The 16,341-nt window shown below is 56.4% G+C and overlaps 1 protein-coding gene across 1 annotated transcript in view, besides 4 other annotated features; it reads right to left on the reverse strand.

Moving 5' to 3' along the window:
* Nucleotides 1–16,341, reverse strand: part of SCUBE1 (signal peptide, CUB domain and EGF like domain containing 1) — a 146,093-nt gene that overhangs the window by 16,562 nt on the left and 113,190 nt on the right. Inside the window, exons 9-16 of the mRNA NM_173050.5 lie at nucleotides 15,231–15,347; nucleotides 13,533–13,655; nucleotides 9,256–9,375; nucleotides 8,797–8,901; nucleotides 7,332–7,448; nucleotides 6,609–6,746; nucleotides 4,414–4,617; nucleotides 249–410 (exon numbers count right to left, since the gene is read on the reverse strand). Coding sequence (NP_766638.2) covers nucleotides 249–410; nucleotides 4,414–4,617; nucleotides 6,609–6,746; nucleotides 7,332–7,448; nucleotides 8,797–8,901; nucleotides 9,256–9,375; nucleotides 13,533–13,655; nucleotides 15,231–15,347 — 1,086 coding nt within the window. The remainder of the gene's footprint in view (nucleotides 1–248; nucleotides 411–4,413; nucleotides 4,618–6,608; nucleotides 6,747–7,331; nucleotides 7,449–8,796; nucleotides 8,902–9,255; nucleotides 9,376–13,532; nucleotides 13,656–15,230; nucleotides 15,348–16,341) is intronic.
* Nucleotides 6,406–6,907: an enhancer, noted in NCBI's record as "H3K4me1 hESC enhancer chr22:43616253-43616754 (GRCh37/hg19 assembly coordinates)". NCBI's record gives its function as "activates a minimal SCP1, AML or CMV promoter by ChIP-STARR-seq in naive H9 embryonic stem cells {active_cell/tissue: H9 hESC(naive)}" and the evidence as "EXISTENCE:reporter gene assay evidence [ECO:0000049][PMID:30033119]".
* Nucleotides 11,239–11,404: a silencer, noted in NCBI's record as "fragment chr22:43621086-43621251 (GRCh37/hg19 assembly coordinates)". NCBI's record gives its function as "represses an EF-1alpha promoter that drives an FKBP-Casp9 reporter gene in an ReSE screen in HepG2 liver carcinoma cells {active_cell/tissue: HepG2}" and the evidence as "EXISTENCE:reporter gene assay evidence [ECO:0000049][PMID:32094911]".
* Nucleotides 12,025–12,591: an enhancer, noted in NCBI's record as "H3K4me1 hESC enhancer chr22:43621872-43622438 (GRCh37/hg19 assembly coordinates)". NCBI's record gives its function as "activates a minimal SCP1, AML or CMV promoter by ChIP-STARR-seq in naive H9 embryonic stem cells {active_cell/tissue: H9 hESC(naive)}" and the evidence as "EXISTENCE:reporter gene assay evidence [ECO:0000049][PMID:30033119]".
* Nucleotides 12,592–13,157: an enhancer, noted in NCBI's record as "H3K4me1 hESC enhancer chr22:43622439-43623004 (GRCh37/hg19 assembly coordinates)". NCBI's record gives its function as "activates a minimal SCP1, AML or CMV promoter by ChIP-STARR-seq in naive H9 embryonic stem cells {active_cell/tissue: H9 hESC(naive)}" and the evidence as "EXISTENCE:reporter gene assay evidence [ECO:0000049][PMID:30033119]".

The raw sequence follows: 16,341 nt of genomic DNA on the forward strand, positions 1-16,341 counted from the left end.
GTGCAGTGCAGCGCTCAGCACTGTAGTGCAGGCCGGGACTGCTGACGCTTTGGGATCTGTCACGCACTTTGTAAGTGATGACTGCACAGACATCGTGAAGGGTTTTGGAAACGACAAGGAACTTTAGAAAATACCACACTCTCTGGCCACACCAGGCACCTGGGCCTTCGACAGGAGGGCCTCATCAGAGACAGGAGGAGCCCCCGCCCACCCCCCACCCCCACCTCTCCTTCTAGGCCCGCACTTGCCTCCACATTCCGACACGTTGCGGGCACCAGGCAGACCAAGCCCGTCGCTGCTGGGGCACGGTGTGCAACTGAGCTGGCCTTCCATGTCCTGGTATGTTCCTGGCATACATGACACACACTGGCCGAGCTCACCACCGAAGTGGGTGCCAGGCCCACAGGCAACTGCAGAGGCAAAGCGGAGAGGCTGCTGGAGGCAGAGGTGGGGAGGCCAGGGGTGTCTCCTGTGTGCTCAAGCCCAGGCTCTCCTGATAGACACAGTCCTTGTCCCCTGGGGCCCCAAGGACACAGAGGGGCCCCTGACCTATCCCAGAAGAGCCTGGGGCAAGACCCAGGAGGCAGCCATCTGTGAGGGCCATGAAGCCTGGCCCCTCTGGCTGCTGCACCTCAGAGTCCTCTGTGGACCCCTCCATCTCCACCCGCTTATAGAAGCCTGTGGTCCCCACCTCCCCCATACGTCTGTCCTCTGTCTGCTCCACACCCTGCCCTCCAGCTTTAGCAAACTGCCTCCTGGATGTCGCCACTTGGATATGCTACAGTCATTTCACCCCGAAGCTCCCCTGTCCTTCCTGAGTGGAGGAGTTAGGGGCAGTGGGGAGGGACTGGGGCTCAAATAGGCAAGGGCAGGAGGGCCTGGCGGGCGAGGTGGGAGGGGCGTAGCGAGGAGATGATGGGCTGAAGACAGCGCAGTCTGGTTGGCTACACTGAACAAATACGTCGACTGATGAGTAAGTAAGGAAACTGAGTAAATCAGTAAATTCAGGAGAAAGGGAGCCGAGTTTCTCAGTGCTGGAGAAGATGCTTACAAATGCGGAAATGGGGAGTGAAGGTTAGAAAAGACCCTGAGGTGTGGAACGGGAGGCACTGGCATGAATTCATGGTTTTAGAACCCCCCCACCCATAGATTCCCATGCCTGTGTGTGCACGTGTATACACATCTATGCTTTCCAGTTCTGTCCGATGAGAGGGCCTAGAGGCAGTGGTACTCCAGGAGCAATGAATATCCCAGATTTTGGTTTCTACCCATCATCCTCCTCTCAAAGGAACCAGGGGTCCTTGGGGATTTGGCTGATGCCAGGGGATGGAGAGTGTCAGTTGGATCTGAAGGGGAGGCTCGCAGCATGTGTGTGGCAGGTCAGACAGACCCAAGAGCCAGCTTGGTGGGGCATCCCTGGCTACCCTGGGGACACAGTGAGCGCCGAACTAAATAACATCAGGAATGGATCACCACGCAATGAGTAAGGGGAATCTGAGTCTATAGGGATACAGACCCAGAGGTAAACGGCCATGGCCACCCACTTTCCTACAGGAGAATGTGACTAGTGAGCGTGGAACATGGAACAAATGGTAGAGGTGGCTGACATGGCGGGAGCTGTGCAGAAGTTTGATGAGGAGGAGAATATTGGTCCAAACTCAGAAAACACTCATCAATCACAGAGAGAAAATGGCGAGTGAAAGTGAAGCCAGTGGCGGGCTGGGGGTATCCTGTGCCTGCTGATGGGGCACCCAGGATTAGGCCTCGAAGCTGAGGTTCCTGCTGGACCCTGGGCCCTGAGTCAGGTCCCCAGGAAAAACCAGAGGGAGCTCTGAGCGTTAGCCTAGAGGAGGTGAGTTTGGGACAAGGGCAGGAGAGGCAGGGAAAGGGGAGAAGCGGCTCCAGACTGAAGGAGCCTGAAGACACAGTGGAGGGTGACATGTCTTTCTGGATGGGAGCTGGGACCAGAAAAACAAAAGGGACATTGTTGGAAGGATTGCTGGAGCTGAATGGGGTGGGTGTGTGGGTTGGATGGTGAAGACTACACACTCACACATGCATGCACACTCACACACATGCACACGTGTGGGAGACGGGGCAGATGTGGTCAAATGTGCACAATTGGGGAATTTGGATGAAGAAAATATGGAAGTTTTTTGTTCTGCTTGACAATGTTTCTGAAACTTTGAAATAATTTCAAAATAAGTTATTTATTTTTATTTTGGGATGGAGTCTCGCTCTGTCACCCAGGCTGGAGTGCAGTGGTGTGATCTCAGCTCACTGCAACCTCTGCCTCCCAGGTTCAAGTGACTCTCCTGTCTCAGCCTCCCCAGTAGCTAGGATTGCAGGCGCTCGCCACCACACCCAGCTAATTTTTGTATTTTTAGTAGAGACGGGGTTTCACCATGTTGGCCAGGCTGGTCTCAAACTCCTGACCTCAGGTGATCCACCTGTCTCGGCCTCCCAAAGTGCTGGGATTACAGGCGTGAGCTACCATGCCCGGCCCAAAATAAGTTATTGAAAGTAGAAGAGGCTGGGCGCAGTGGCTCACACCCATAATCCCAGCACTTTGGGAGGCCGAGGTGGGCAGATCATGAGGTCAGGAGTTTGAGACCAGCCTGGCCAACATAGTGAAACCCTGTCTCTACTAAAAATACAAAAATTAGCCGGACACGGTGGCGCGCACCTGTAGTCCTAGCTACTTGGGAGGCTGAGGCAGTAGAATAGGTTGAACCTGGGAGGCAGAGTTGCGGTGAGCTGAGATTACACCATTGCACTGCAGCCTGGCTACAGAGCGAGACTCTGTCTCAAAAATAAAAACAAACAAACAAAAAAAGAAAGTAGAAGATGACATCACCAAGCTCCCTTTGTCCCCCCTTGTCAGTACGGCTGTCCCCCTCCACTGTCTGAGCCAGAGTCCCAGCTTCCCCAACCTGGCCCTTCCCCTGCCAGGTGTCATCTCTTTACCAACAGCTTCCCCGCCCTCTCCAGGTGTCACCTCTTTATCAACAACTTCCCCCCACCCACCCCCCGCCAGGTGTCATCTCTTTACCAACAGCTTCCCTCCCACCCCCACTGCCAGGTGTCACCTCTTTTCCAACAGCTTCCCCCAACACTGCCGTCACCTCTTCTCTAACAGCTTCCCCCCACCCCGCCAGGTGTCACCTCTTTACCAACAGCTTCCCCACCCCGCCAGGTGTCACCTCTTTACCAACAGCTTCCCCACCCTGCCAGGTGTCACCTCTTTACCAACAGCTTCCCCCAACCCCCACCCCCCATCCGCCAGGTGTCACCTCTTCTCCAACAGCTTCCCTCCTCCCCCGCCAGGTATCATTTCTTCTCCTCCGGCTTCCCAGTTTACACCCCTGGCCAACCCTATTGTTTGAGGCTTCGGACTTGTGGCTGCAACTGCCCATCCAACATCTCCATGTGGATGACTTGTGAGCGTCTCAGACTGAACATGTCCAGCCTGCGCACCCCATCCCCGCAGCCCACTCTTCATCAAGTTTCCCTCCCCCCAGCCCACTCTTCCTCAAATCCTTGGGGATTTGGCCGGCGTCAGGAAGCGATACCACCTCTGCCCAATTGGCCAAACCCTTGGAGTCGTCCTTGAAGTCTGTCTCTCCCTAGGAGCCCCCTCCATCTCATGCTCCTCCCCGTCCTTGCTCCGCCCCCGCTACTCAGCCTTCCCGTAAGAGCGCGCATGAGCCTGCGTCCTTGCTCTAAGCATTCCTATGGCTCCCCATCCAACTCAAGAGTGGTGTCTGCCAGGCCCCATCACCTCTGGCCTCACTGTACCTGTGGGCATGTTCACTGGCCCACTGTCCATCTTCCGCACGGGCATGTGAGCTCCACTAGAACTAGGACTGTCTCGTGTGCTGGTTCTGCCTGTCCTGCGTCCAGGCTCTCCCCTCCAGCGCACACCCGCCCGCTGGGGGCCGGCCTCACCTGCTTCCCTGCAGCACGACGCTGCCCTCCTGGGCGGCCCTAGGCCTCACGACATCCCTGCTCTGTCCCCCGACCCTGACTCAGGCTCCCCAACTCCTGGAGCCCTGAGGTCTTAGCTAACGTGACTTCTCCTCCAGGAAGCTTCCCTGAACCACATCCCAGACTAGAGAGGGCCTGTTCTGGTTCCCGTGCCCCCTCGCGCCCCTCGACTGTGGCCTTGCTGTCCTGTCCACTCCTTGTCCCTCCTCAGACTGTGATCACATGCCCGAGGCCCAGCACAGAGGAGTGCTCTTCAAATGACAGTGATGACCATGAGGGCTGCAGTCCTTCTCCCCGGCAGGCCTCTGCATCTCTCTGTCCCCTCCCCAGGTGTCTGTCTCACCTGCGTGCCCACCACTGTTTACCCCGGCTCATGTGCAAGGAAGGACAGAGTCAGCATCTGAGTGGCCATGGGCAAGGACTCACCGCATTTGCTGTCCTGTAGCACCTGGCCTGCGCCACATGCCCCCTGCCCCTCCAGCGCCTTGGCTGGCCTCTGGGCTACCTCGTACTCAGTGCCTGAGACCTGGACATAGAACTGCTGCCGGCCGATGGACTTGCGCAGGGTCTTGATGGCGGCCTGCAGGCTCTGTTCTGCTCGCTTCCGCAAGCAGTCCGCTTCGCATGTGTCTGCAGGGGCAGGAGAGACAGAACATGAATCGCTGGCAACCTTGCTAGCCGCTGCCTTCTTAGCTGAGGGCTCCCCCGTGCCAGGCCCTGCACTGGGCTCGGACCTCCTCAGCACATTCTCACAACAGTCCTGGGGCAAGGGGCCACTGTCATGCCCATCTGACAGATGAGGAGGCTGCGGACCTGGGAGGCAGGGCCTGCCCACGGCCACGCAGCAGATCTGAGTGCAATCCAGGCAGCTGCCACTGCACCACATCACCCCCCAGGGTACGACTCACGGGGCAAGAACGCCTTTCTGTCACTCAAAGACTCTTGGGGACTGCCACTGTCCCCAGGATAGTGTCCAGCTCTCTGGCCTTGAATCCAAGGCCCTTCAAGGTCCAGCCCCGTATGGCCTTGCCAGCCTCATCCCCTCCACTCTGACACTCCCTGTGGATTCCAATGTCTAGCCACCTGGCCCTACTTACTGCTTCCTGGACACCTCCTCCTCTCTCTGACCTCTGTGCCTTTGCCTATTCTATTCCCTCTGCCTGAATGCCATTCCTTGCCACCTTTTCCACCCAGTGAGCTTTGATTCTAAGCTCTCATTCAAATGGCACCTCTTCTGGGAAAGCTTCCTGATATGGTTTCAATATTTGTCTCTTCCAAACCTCATGTTGAAATCTGATCCCTAATGCTGGGGGTGGGGCCTGGTGGGAGGTGTCTGGGTCATGGGGTAGGTCCCTCATGAATGGCCTGGTGTGGTAGTCAGTTCTTGCTGGCTCTACTAGTCGCCACGAGATGTGACTGGTGAAGACATAGGCACCCCCTCCCCTCTCTCTTGCTCCCTTACTCTTGCTATGTGATGCCAGCTGCTCTTCACCTTCCTCCGTGAGCAGAAGCAGCCTAAGGCCTCGCCAGGCAGATGCTGCTGCCGTGTTCTCGGACAGCCTGCAGAGCCGAGAGCCAATAAGCTCTTTTCCTGATAAATTATGCAGCCTCAGGTGTTCCTTTTAGCAACGCAAATAGACTAAAACATTTCCTTTTTTTTTTTTTGAGATAGAGTCTCACTCGTCGCCAGGCTGGAGCACAGTGGCGCGATCTCAGCTCACTGCAATCTCTGCCTCCCAGGTTCAAGCGATTCTCCTGCCTCAGCCTCCTGAGTAGCTGGGATTACAGGTGCCTGCCACCACACCTGGCTAATTTTTGTATTTTTAGTAGAGACAGGGTTTCACCATGTTGGCCAGGCTGGTCTTGAACTCCTGAACTCAAGTGATCCACCCACTTTGGCCCTCCCAGACTGCTGGGATTACAGGCGTGAGCCAGTGTGCCCAGCCAGACTAAGACATTTCCTAAGCCCTCCCGTGGGGGGCAGACCTCAGTTCTATGCATTGTTTGTTCTTGTGCCCCCACCACCGAGAGTCCCACCTGGCAATGGGTGGTTTGCACGTGCGTCTGCCTCTCTGGCTGAGAGTGTTACCTGGGTGGGGACTTTTCTTTCCACAGCGCCCAAGCCCACAGCCAGGCCCATACCACACTTATCTGCTGACAGATCCCATCTCTTCAACATCAACGACTCACAGGTTGACACTCACATATAGCCAAGAGCAAAGTGCTGCTGTGACACCCGAGCCAGCATTAGAACCTCCTTCAGGAACCAGGAAAGACAATCCTTGGCTCAACCATTCTAGGGGGGCTGCACCTATTTGTCCTCCCGGGTCCCAGCAGGAGTGTGGAGGGGCAGATAAGGGTCATGTGACTTTTGAGGTCACCTCGGCTCTTCTGTCTCATTGCCCTGGGCTGCCTCTTCTATCCTGGGCTGCAAGCGTTGACCCCTGCCAGCTCCCTTTGCTTGTGGGCCTGCCTCTGTCTCCAGAAGCTGGGCTCCCATCCCAGCCACAGCTGTGCTCTGGTGGGAGCCTAGCTTCATGCCTGGCAGGCCCCCGGCAGCGCCACCAGCCTGTCGTCCTCCTTCAGGCCTGCAGAAGCCCCCAGGAGAACCCCTCACCTACCTGAGGCCTCTTCCATCTTTGTCTCGATCTCAAACTCTGCTGTGATGTGGGACACCTCCTTGGATGGGGACTTGCGGCCACGGCGCCTCTTCTTGGAGGAGTCACACTTGAGGGTCACGAAAGTCACATGGCAGTGGTCTGGACGAGGAAAGGACCACTGTGGCAAAGGCGGCATGGGGCAGGGAGCAAGGTCCTACCAAGCCCTGCATACAGAGTGCCATTGGCAAGGACTTCCTGGTCCGTGGTGCAGACGGAAAAACTCAGGCTAGAGAAGGTCAGGGCTGGCTCGGGGTCTCAGGAGGGGCTGGTGGCTGAGCCAGGTCTCACGCCCGGTCCATCACGCTGCTGCAGGTGGAGGCATCTCATACATATTCATGAATGAGGCTGTGCCCCCAGCTCTGGGCCTGCTGAGGGTTTGGCCAGTGCAGACTCGGCTCTGGGCAGAGCCTGCTGCGTGCTGAGAGCTCTGTTAGGTTTGAGAAGGAATCTTCACGGGGACAGAGCTGGTGCCTTCCTCCGGGGCCCCTCGTACCAAGCTTGCCCTCCGCTGTTTCCCCAGCCTGCAATGTCCTTGGAAACTCTCATTCAATAAACAGCTGCCAGGTGAGAGAGACCTCCACCCTTGGAAACCAGACTCGCTGGACCCTGGGGCCCCAGCTCCCAGGCATGAGGACTCTCCTACAGCCCCGTTGGTGTGGGTTAGGAGCAGGGCGTCCCACTCACCCAGCAGCGGCTGCCTGGCGGTCTCCTTTGCTCGTGCCTGGCTGTGGGGCCGGAGGTGGCACTTGGCATCTCGGATCTTGAAGCGGGCCTTCTGTTTGATGGGGGTGGTGGGGGCATCTGGGGAAAGCCAAAATTCCCCCAGGTGGTGGCCTCTCCTGCAGGCAAGGAGGTGGTGGGGGACGGGGGCTGCCAGGGGACAAATCCATCTGGAGCTGGGGGTGGGGCTTGATCTGAGTCCCTGTGCCCCGACAGCTCTCCTGGGGTGGGGGACCCTCTCCTGCCCCATTTCTCTCCCTGCAAGGCCTAAAACAGGTGAACACATGGATGGTGGGGTCAAGCTCAAGCCCAGGGGCCACCCGCCAGAGGTCTTCTGAGAAGGAGGACAGGGATCCTCCTACCTCCTCCCCATCAGCAAGCCATGATTGTGCTTTAGGAAAGAGCGTAGAACAGAAGAGAGATAGGACAGCAAGGAAGGGAAGGGGCTTTGAAATACTATAGATCCAGGACTGCCGGTTCCTTGCAAGAGCAAATCATAGCCCTTGGACTAAAGAATCCTACCACCACAGGTGCTTAGAATCAAATCACATATGCATTAAATATATAGAAATGGGCAGGGTGCGGTGGCTCACGCCTGTAATCCTAGCACTCTGGGAGGCCGAGGCAGGCGGATCACTTGAGGTCAGGAGTTCCAGACTAGCCTGACCAACATGGTGAAACCATGTCTCTACTAAAAATACAAAAATTAGCCAGGTGTGGTGATGGGCACCTGTAATCCCAGCTACTCAGGAGGCTGAGGCAGGAGAATTGCTTGAACCTGGGAGGCGGAGGTTGCAGTGAGCCGAGATCACGCCACTGCACTCCAGCCTGGGTGACAGAGCGAGACTCCGTTTTAAAAATAATAATAATAATAATAAAGAAACATACAGAAATGCACCTATCTATCAAATCCAGCATCCTGAATAAGAAAAGCTGCTGAAGACACAACCCTCAGCTCCTTAGCTGGCAGGAGCTAAGGCTGGCTGTGCCATGCCGACCAAGCCCAGCGGGTCACTCCCAAAGGGCTGGGACTGTGCTGCACCTCGGCGCTTCTTGGCATGCTCTGCACGGCCAGGCCAGCTCTGACTCGGGAGAACCTAATAGCCACAGCAGATGTGGCTTGCTCCACCCATACAGTCTGAGATCTGTGCACTCACAGCACGTTAGAGTCCCTGAACCACTCTGGCTGTGACCTCAGAGCCGGAAGGGCCCTCCCACGGTCCCCTGACCCTGGGCTAGAACTCGGCCTGCAGCCTGCTGGCTTCTAGGTCCTGGGCCTGGCTCATCGCCAGCACCCCAGGCCACACGGAGCAGGGCCGAGAGCAGGAAGGTCTTCCCTGGGCGGTGCCCTTTCCTCCCCCGCCAGCATGTTGCTGGATGCAGTCAAGTCACCCAGTGGCATGCAGCATGGACAGGCCGGGGGGGTTACCTGAGCAGCTGGGCCCGAGGCCAGAGCTGGTGCCGTTGCGTTTCTGCAGCGCCTTGCCCTGCGGCCCTGGAACTCCGCAGCTCAGGACGTAGCTATTTTCCGAGTCTGCAGAGAAGCCGGTGGGTGAGGTGGGCCTGGTGCTCCTCCCTCCCACGGCCCTCAGATTCTTGGGGCCTCAGAGGGATTGTGGAGTGAGACGAAGATCAGGACAGATTCTTCTGCCAGTTTCTGCTACACAACCACAGGGAAGTGGCCAGGAGGAAGGAGCCCACTGGGTTTACTGAGAAGGACAGCGAGGCCCACAGAAAACCAGACAGCTGCCTTAGGGTCACTCAGTTATCAGAGACCCTCATTCCTAGGTCAGACTCTTTCCTGGAGGACAGCTGGGAGCAATGGTGGGACCCCAGGGAGGAAGACCCCCCTGCCACAGCATCCCATCTCAGGGACGGCCCGGGTTACCTGGCACGAAGAGTGTGTGAGCCGGGCAGGAAAGGAAGCAGCTCTCCACACCGCCTGCCTTGCTGCAGGACAGCTGGGCCCGGGGGGAGGTCTTGGCGCGAGAAAGACACTTGCCTGTCTCTATGAAGGGAGATACGAGAGAGGGCTGAGAGAGGCCAGGGCGGAGGCTTCCTGGAGCCAGGAGGGTCCTGGGTATGGCCTAATGGGGACTCCCCCAACTCCCTTCTTCCATGGCTGGGCTGGCTTGGTGGGAAGGCGCCTGGAGATCGCAGGTCCCTTGGGCGTGTGGGGATGCTGGGCCCAGACAGCTGGCTTAGTCCCTCCTCCCCTTCAGGCTCTAATCCTGGCTGTGAGAAGGTTCATGTCCCCATCCCCAGATCAGAAACTCCCTGAGGGCAGGGCTGAGCTCTCCAGGGCAGGCGTCCATTCCCACTGGGGAAAGGAACGGCGCTAAATGAACACTGGCTTCCTGGGAGGGGCCGTGGGGGGGATCGCTCGGAAGCACCTCTTTGGGGCAGCCTCTGCTACAGCCATCAGGTGTCTGGAGAAACAGCCCTCCAGAATTTCTCACTTGCTTACTTATCTTTAGAGGATGAAAAAGTCCCCCGGACTCCTAGGAAAAGACGGACGGTTCTACAGCCATGGTAAATACCAGAACTGATTTTACAGATGGCTAATTGGTCGGTGACAACCGGCTTATGTGGCACGCCTCTGAAAGCCACCTCATGAGTGACAGCCTCGCACTCTGGTCAGTCATCAATGTGGAGTTACTCCAGTGTAACCAGGCTTCCAGGTTCAGTCAAGTCACCTCCCTTCTGTAACCCACACAGGCCATGCTTCTAGACTCCCATCAACCTAATCCCAACCTGCCTGGAATAAGCTTTGCCCCAAATCCCCAGGGAAGATCAGCAGTTTGCTTTGCTCCCTGAGCCTGCCTGACCAACACAGCTCCCCCTTACTTAAGCGACAGCTCAGCTTTCTGGTTTCAGATACTGAGCGGTGGCTGATCTCATCCTTTGGTAATTCTGGAGGTTCCTCCAAGATTGTTTTAGAAACCCTTGCTTCCCAGTGTCCTTTGGGTGCCGTGGGCCACAGGTGTCCTTGGTCAACCCCCGGGGCCCACATTTTGTCTGTCCTGCTGATTGCTTTCTGCGAGGGCACCGTGTGACAACACTCTGAGCTCTCACTTGCTTTGCTGCTCTCTCGTGCTGACTGCTTTGTTAGCAAGTGGGCCTCTGGCTGGGGAGCAAGACCTTGTGTTCGGAGACACACATTTACCTGTGTGTTCTGCTGCTGGGCACTTTGCTTTTGCTTGACTATTAGATAAAGGTTTATCCCATGAGTTTTGTTGTGCTCTGACTTGTCTTGTGTTTGATGGATAGATAACAGGGTGCTCCTTGGGGACCAGATGGCGACACAGGCCCTGCATGCTTCCAACTCAATCCAAGCTGGCCCCCAGGATCAATGGTCAGAGGTCTATGATACTAGGGGCCAATTCCTGTAGGCAACTAGGCAGGGCTTTCCTTGGGTCCCTTCTAAAATCTTCCTCAGGGCGCTCCTGTTCTGCCAACACGTGAAAGGAGGCCCCTTTGTTTTCTCCATATTCTGGGGTCACAGCTGTCAGGTCACTGACTGCACGGCCCTTTCCAGCCTGTGTCTGGTTGGGGGAACCGGAACGTCATGCTAAGCACACACTTTTGACTGATGAAAGTGATGATCATGGGCTGGTTATGCCAAGGCTGCAACTTCCCTGGCTGAACTCCTGCAGCCTTATGAATTTAGACTATTATCCTAACTTGTGCTTGTCCTGGTAAATGGCAAACTGCCCCCTACTCACCACAAAACCTAAACAGCGACAACTACCACCACCAGCTTAGAATAACGTTGGTCATTGTGGGAACTTCTGACACATCAAAACTAATACATTAATATATTTAAGAGGAGCTCTAAAATGTTAGGAGACAAAATTTCATCATTTAATAGCTTCTGCCACTGGTATACCTTGGCCTCAGTTTCCTCCCACTCAAACCTTCCGAAATCCACTTGCCACTCTCTCTGCCCAGCTCCATCTTCACCAGCCACTTATCGCATCACCCCCCCACTCCTGCCCCTCCATCTCCTACACAAGCAACTCCTCCCTTAGGGTTTATCCCAGGAAAGCCAGAAATCAGATCTCTAATGCTGGATGTAAAGCCACGTCTAGAGCTATGCTGAGTGCTGAAGGAAATTTTCCTAAACTCCAGGAGACAGACAAACATTTGCTTAAGAATTCAGGATATCGCTGGATAGTTATTGTCCCGGATGATCAGATCTGTATCACAATGAGTTCACCTAAGTGTTAGGATCTTGGATGGAAGAAAAAGTTCAAAAGCAACAGATGGTAAAGAGCAGTAGAAGCGGCCGGGCTCGGTGGCTCACGCCTGCAATCCCGGCACTTTGGGAGGCTGAGGTGGGTGGATCACAAGGTCAGGAGGTCGAGACCAGCCTGACCAACATGGTGAAACCTCGTCTCTATTAAAAATACAAAAATTAGGTGATCTGGTGATCTGCCCACCTCAGCCTCTCAAAGTGCTGGGATTACAGGCGTGAGTCACCGTGCCCGGCCAAATGTTTCTTTCTGAGAAACTAAATGTGTCAGCCTCTTTCTTCTGCCACTCAGTTTCTTGCCCTTTGGAGGCAGGTTTGCGTAAACCTGCTCACCACAGAGCAATGACCCCCTAACACCCTCAATGAACAACGCTTTCCTGCAAAGAATCTGAAGGTACCATATCCTTCCTATGCTTGTAAGACGGAGATCCCCTCATGCTGCCTCCGCCACCCGTACAACCCCAAACAAGCTCTTTCCCAAAACTCAGCAGAAGAGCAGCAGTTGACTTTGTTCAGTGAGACTTTGCCTGAAAAGCACAGCAAGTCCTTCCACAAGTACGTGATAAACTCAGCCTTTGGATTTCAGATATTAAATGATGGTTTGTATTCGTTAATGTGTTCACTGACAAATATTTACTCTGTGTCTGTGATTGTCAGGGTCTGTTCCAGGTGCTGGGGCTCTAGCAGTAAATGGGACAGGCCAAGAAGACCTGTTTAACTGTGTAAAGCTTACATTCTAGTGAGGAGAGAGAGATGGACAGACAGACAGACATACACCAACACGAACCTGTAAAGTGCACATTACTTCTGGTGGCTGGGAGTGTGATGGGAGGGAAAGCAAGCTGGAAGCACAGGGGGCCCAGATGGGTGCGGAAGTGGCCAAGGCTGCGGCTCTGGGTGGGTGATGGGGCAGGCCTCACTCACAGACCCTCACAGCAAGGGAGGAGTGAGGAGTGCTGGTGTGGGGGGGCCCTCCAGGCCAAGAGAAGCGCACAGCCTCGGGCTGAGGGCTGGTGGAGGCCCTGCGAAGTCAGTGAGGCTGGCGTGAAGCGAGGGAGACAGCAGAGGGCAATCCTGTCAGCTGGCGGCAGCCTTCGGGCCATTCCAAGCGCTGTGGCTTTGATTCAGAGTCAAAGGAGGAGTTACCGGGGTTGGAAGGGGCGGAGGGTGGGGGTGGGGGCGGGGTTCTGAGCCCAGAGGGATGTTCTAACTTACATTTAAAAGGCTCACTTAGGCTGCCCTGGGGATGTCAGAGTGTGGCGGGGCAAGGACCCGGCGTGGAGGTTCCAGGAGGGCAGGCCCACAGCCCCAGCACCCAGACAGGGTCCCATGTACAGGGAACCAGGGAACGCAGGGGCCCGTCCAGAACTCAGCCTAGGGGCACCCAGTGCTGCGAGCATGCCTGCAGAGGGGGCAGGGACCATGGGCTTTCCAGGAGGCACTGCCACATCCCCTGCAACTGTGCCCCACTGAGGCTGCTGCACCCCGAGTGACCCTCCTCCTCCCCCTCAGCCTCCTCAGCAAGACAAGGGGAAGCTACCAGAGGAGAGGCCTCCACACCCACTCCCTCTAAGCTTCCAGCTCTATGGAGACATCAGCAGGGTCCCTGTGCCCCACGGCTGGGCTGCACATGGACCTGCAGATCTCCTCTGTGCCCTCCTCCCCACTTCAGGTCCCTGTTGCAGTGCCTCTGGCTGACACTGGCATGCTCTGCCTGGGACCCCCTCCTTTTCTGCAAGTCCTCATTCCCATCAGCCATACCCCAACAGCAGAGAACCTCTGCCTGGGAATGCAAGGCCTAGAGGAAAGGGAGGGGCTGTCCTGCTCACCCCCACCTCAGAAAAGCCACTGTCCCTCCCATCCAAGCCCAGGTGCAGGGGAGGGGCCAGCAGCACAGGGCGGCCACCTACCCACGCAATCCTTCCCGTTCCAGTGGAGCCGCCTCCCCGGGGGACAGACGCACTCGTAGCTGCCCTTGGTGTTGACGCAGCCCTGGTCACAGCTCCCGTTGCTCATGCTGCACTCGTCCACATCTGGAAGCACAGCGGGCGTAAGGGCAGAGGGGAGGCTGGCGGCTGGCGGCTGGCAGGGGAAGGGACCACCCAGGGCAAGAGGGCAAGAATCTCCTGACCCCACCGAGTCGGACAGCATCACGGGATGCAGATGAGCAGTGCACACGCCACACGCACACACACGCGTGGGTTTATAAGGCTCCTCACAGACCCCAGCGTCCCTTCCCCCAGGAACCTGGGTGGTTTTCTGAACTCAAGCAGCTGCACCCCAGGCTAGGGGGCAGAGGAGGTAGCACACGATTAAAGTTCCAACCCAACCAGGTTTTGTGGCGCAGGGAATGAGCACTGCTCCAGGGATTGTGAAACTGATTTTACCGTGGGACTCTGGACAAGCCCTTTTCTAGCCCCGGGTCCCCTGTGGTACAACAGACACCAGGGTGAAAGAGGTCACCGCTAAGGCCTTTCCTCCTCTGACCAAAAGCACCCGCTGAAGCTGGGGGAAGGGGCTGGGCCCCACATTCTGTTAGTTCTTGAGCTGCCTGCACTCGGCAGGCCCAGGGAAGGGGTGCCCAAGTTTTCGAGAGTCTTTCCAGAAGAATCTGTAGCCCGCCTCCAGAAGCCCAAGCACCAGCTATGTCCTGATCACATTCTTGCCTGACCCTGTCTGATCTTCAAGTGGCCTGGCATCGTGAGTGTGGCTACCCCCAGGTCACAGAAAAGGAAGAGAGAGGGGGACCGTCCTTGGCTTCCTAATCTTCACCCACCATGCCCATATAACACCAAGTCCCAGCAGCCTGGCTCTGACTCCTAAATACATCTAGAATCTTCCTCTTTGTTCCGTCGCTGCCCACCCTGCCCCGGCTCCAGCAGTGCATGCTCCCATGCCTGGAGCTGTCTTCCCAGTGGTACCCTGGATTCCACTCTCCTTTCCATGTGGTCACTGGGGCATCTAGTTCCATGAACTTGACCATATCACACCCCTGCTTAAACCCTCCACAGGCTTCTCATCTGACTGGGAATAAACCCTCAACTCCCCTGCGGGCTCACGCAGCCTGCATGGTGGGATGGCGCCCCCTATCCGCATCTTCCTCTGAGCTCCCTCCTGTGGGCTCCAGTCCTGTGGCTGCCTCTCGGTCCTTCTGTCCACTGCTTTCTCATGCGGATCCCTCTGGAGTGCCTCCCTACCCCCAGCCAAACACTCCCCCTTGAGGATCCCGAATTGCCCCTCTACTCTGCCCCTCTCTGCTGTGAGCCTCCCTGGAACGAGCTGTCTGGAATTTCCATGTATTGGTGCCCCCGCTCCTGGCCCGAGTTCTCTAGTAAATGGGGTTTCCAGCCCCGTGCCCATCTGGCCAAGGCCTGGCACTGGCAGAGACCTGCTACCCACCTCTAACCGTTCCCTGCTACCCCTTGTCTCCCCAGCCCTGCCTCACTTGTCCTTGGCTGAGCCCCTCTGCCCAGGAGTCCCCATCCTTGCTGAGGCCTCAGGCCCCCCAGGGTTGAGGGCAGGGTTGGGATGCGGGGTGCAGTGTAGGTGGCCGTGCGGCCAGGCGCGTGCCTCGGGGGGGAGGTGGCCCTGGCGGGCAGGCTGCAGACCTCCGCAGTGGGTTGTCCCGTAGAGGATGTAGCCGCGGTGACACAGGCACTGGAAGCTGCCCGGGGAGTTGATGCAGATGTGGTCACAGGTCCGCTCGAAGGAGCACTCGTCGATGTCTGCGTGGCCACAGGGAGACAAAGTTGGGGGAGGAGTTTGAGGGAGTGGTGGGTGGGCACGGCCTGTCACTCTCAGTCACTCAAGGCACATCTGTGGACACACAGTCCCTGGGCGCAGGCGCAGCACAGCACCGACCCACAGGAAATGGGAGACTCCTTGCTGCTCGACTTTCCATTGTGTCTCCATTAGCCTTCTGTTTCTGGGTTGGGAGCCACCTCACGTCTTTTCTGGAGACGAGCAGGGCAGAAACATTGTGAATGGAAGGGATTATTATGAATCTCTGCCATTTTACTATCTCACAGTCAGCTCCAATTAGGAGTGGTAGAGAGGCATTGAATCCACGCCTGCAGGAAACGGACTGCAGCTGGCCCCAGGGCCCTGGGGAGGCAGCTGACTTGGGACATAAACCTAGGCCTCTTGGATGCTGACCAAAGCATCTTTCCCCATCACCCCATGATGTTTCTTGAGAAAATAAGGAAAACCACACAGGTAAAAAGAGAAGAGGAAATATGCCACCCATAAAGGTCAAAAAGGGAGCTCTGATAGAATGTGAAATGTGATGATGAGCTTCCTGGCAGCCAAGGTAAAAAGGGAAAGAGGGAAGGTCATGGGGTGTTTGTTCCTGGAAAGGAAAAAATGAACCACCATGTTGACTGGAGACAAGTCTGTCCTGGCCATAAATTCTGAGGAAAATGGCTGTTATGGGACAGTTGATGGGGACCCCTGAAGGCAAAACAGACGCCAACCTGCCCCTCCTTGGGCATAGCAGTTAAGAGTTCATTCTTTGAAAACATTAGCTCATGTAATTTCACAAATATTTGTAATATACGCGTATTTATAAAACCACTAACACAAGGAAGAAATTGTGCATGGTGCTCAAAGGCGAGTGTGCTCCCTCCCAGGGAGGATCTGGGACCTCCGGGTACTTGCGGCACCTGGGCTAAAATCTGAAGGATGGGACCAGCCTGGAATGAGCGAATGAATGTGGAGGAA

The sequence above is a fragment of the Homo sapiens genome, chromosome 22, assembly GCF_000001405.40.
Source record: "Homo sapiens chromosome 22, GRCh38.p14 Primary Assembly".
Lineage (NCBI taxonomy): Eukaryota > Metazoa > Chordata > Mammalia > Primates > Hominidae > Homo > Homo sapiens.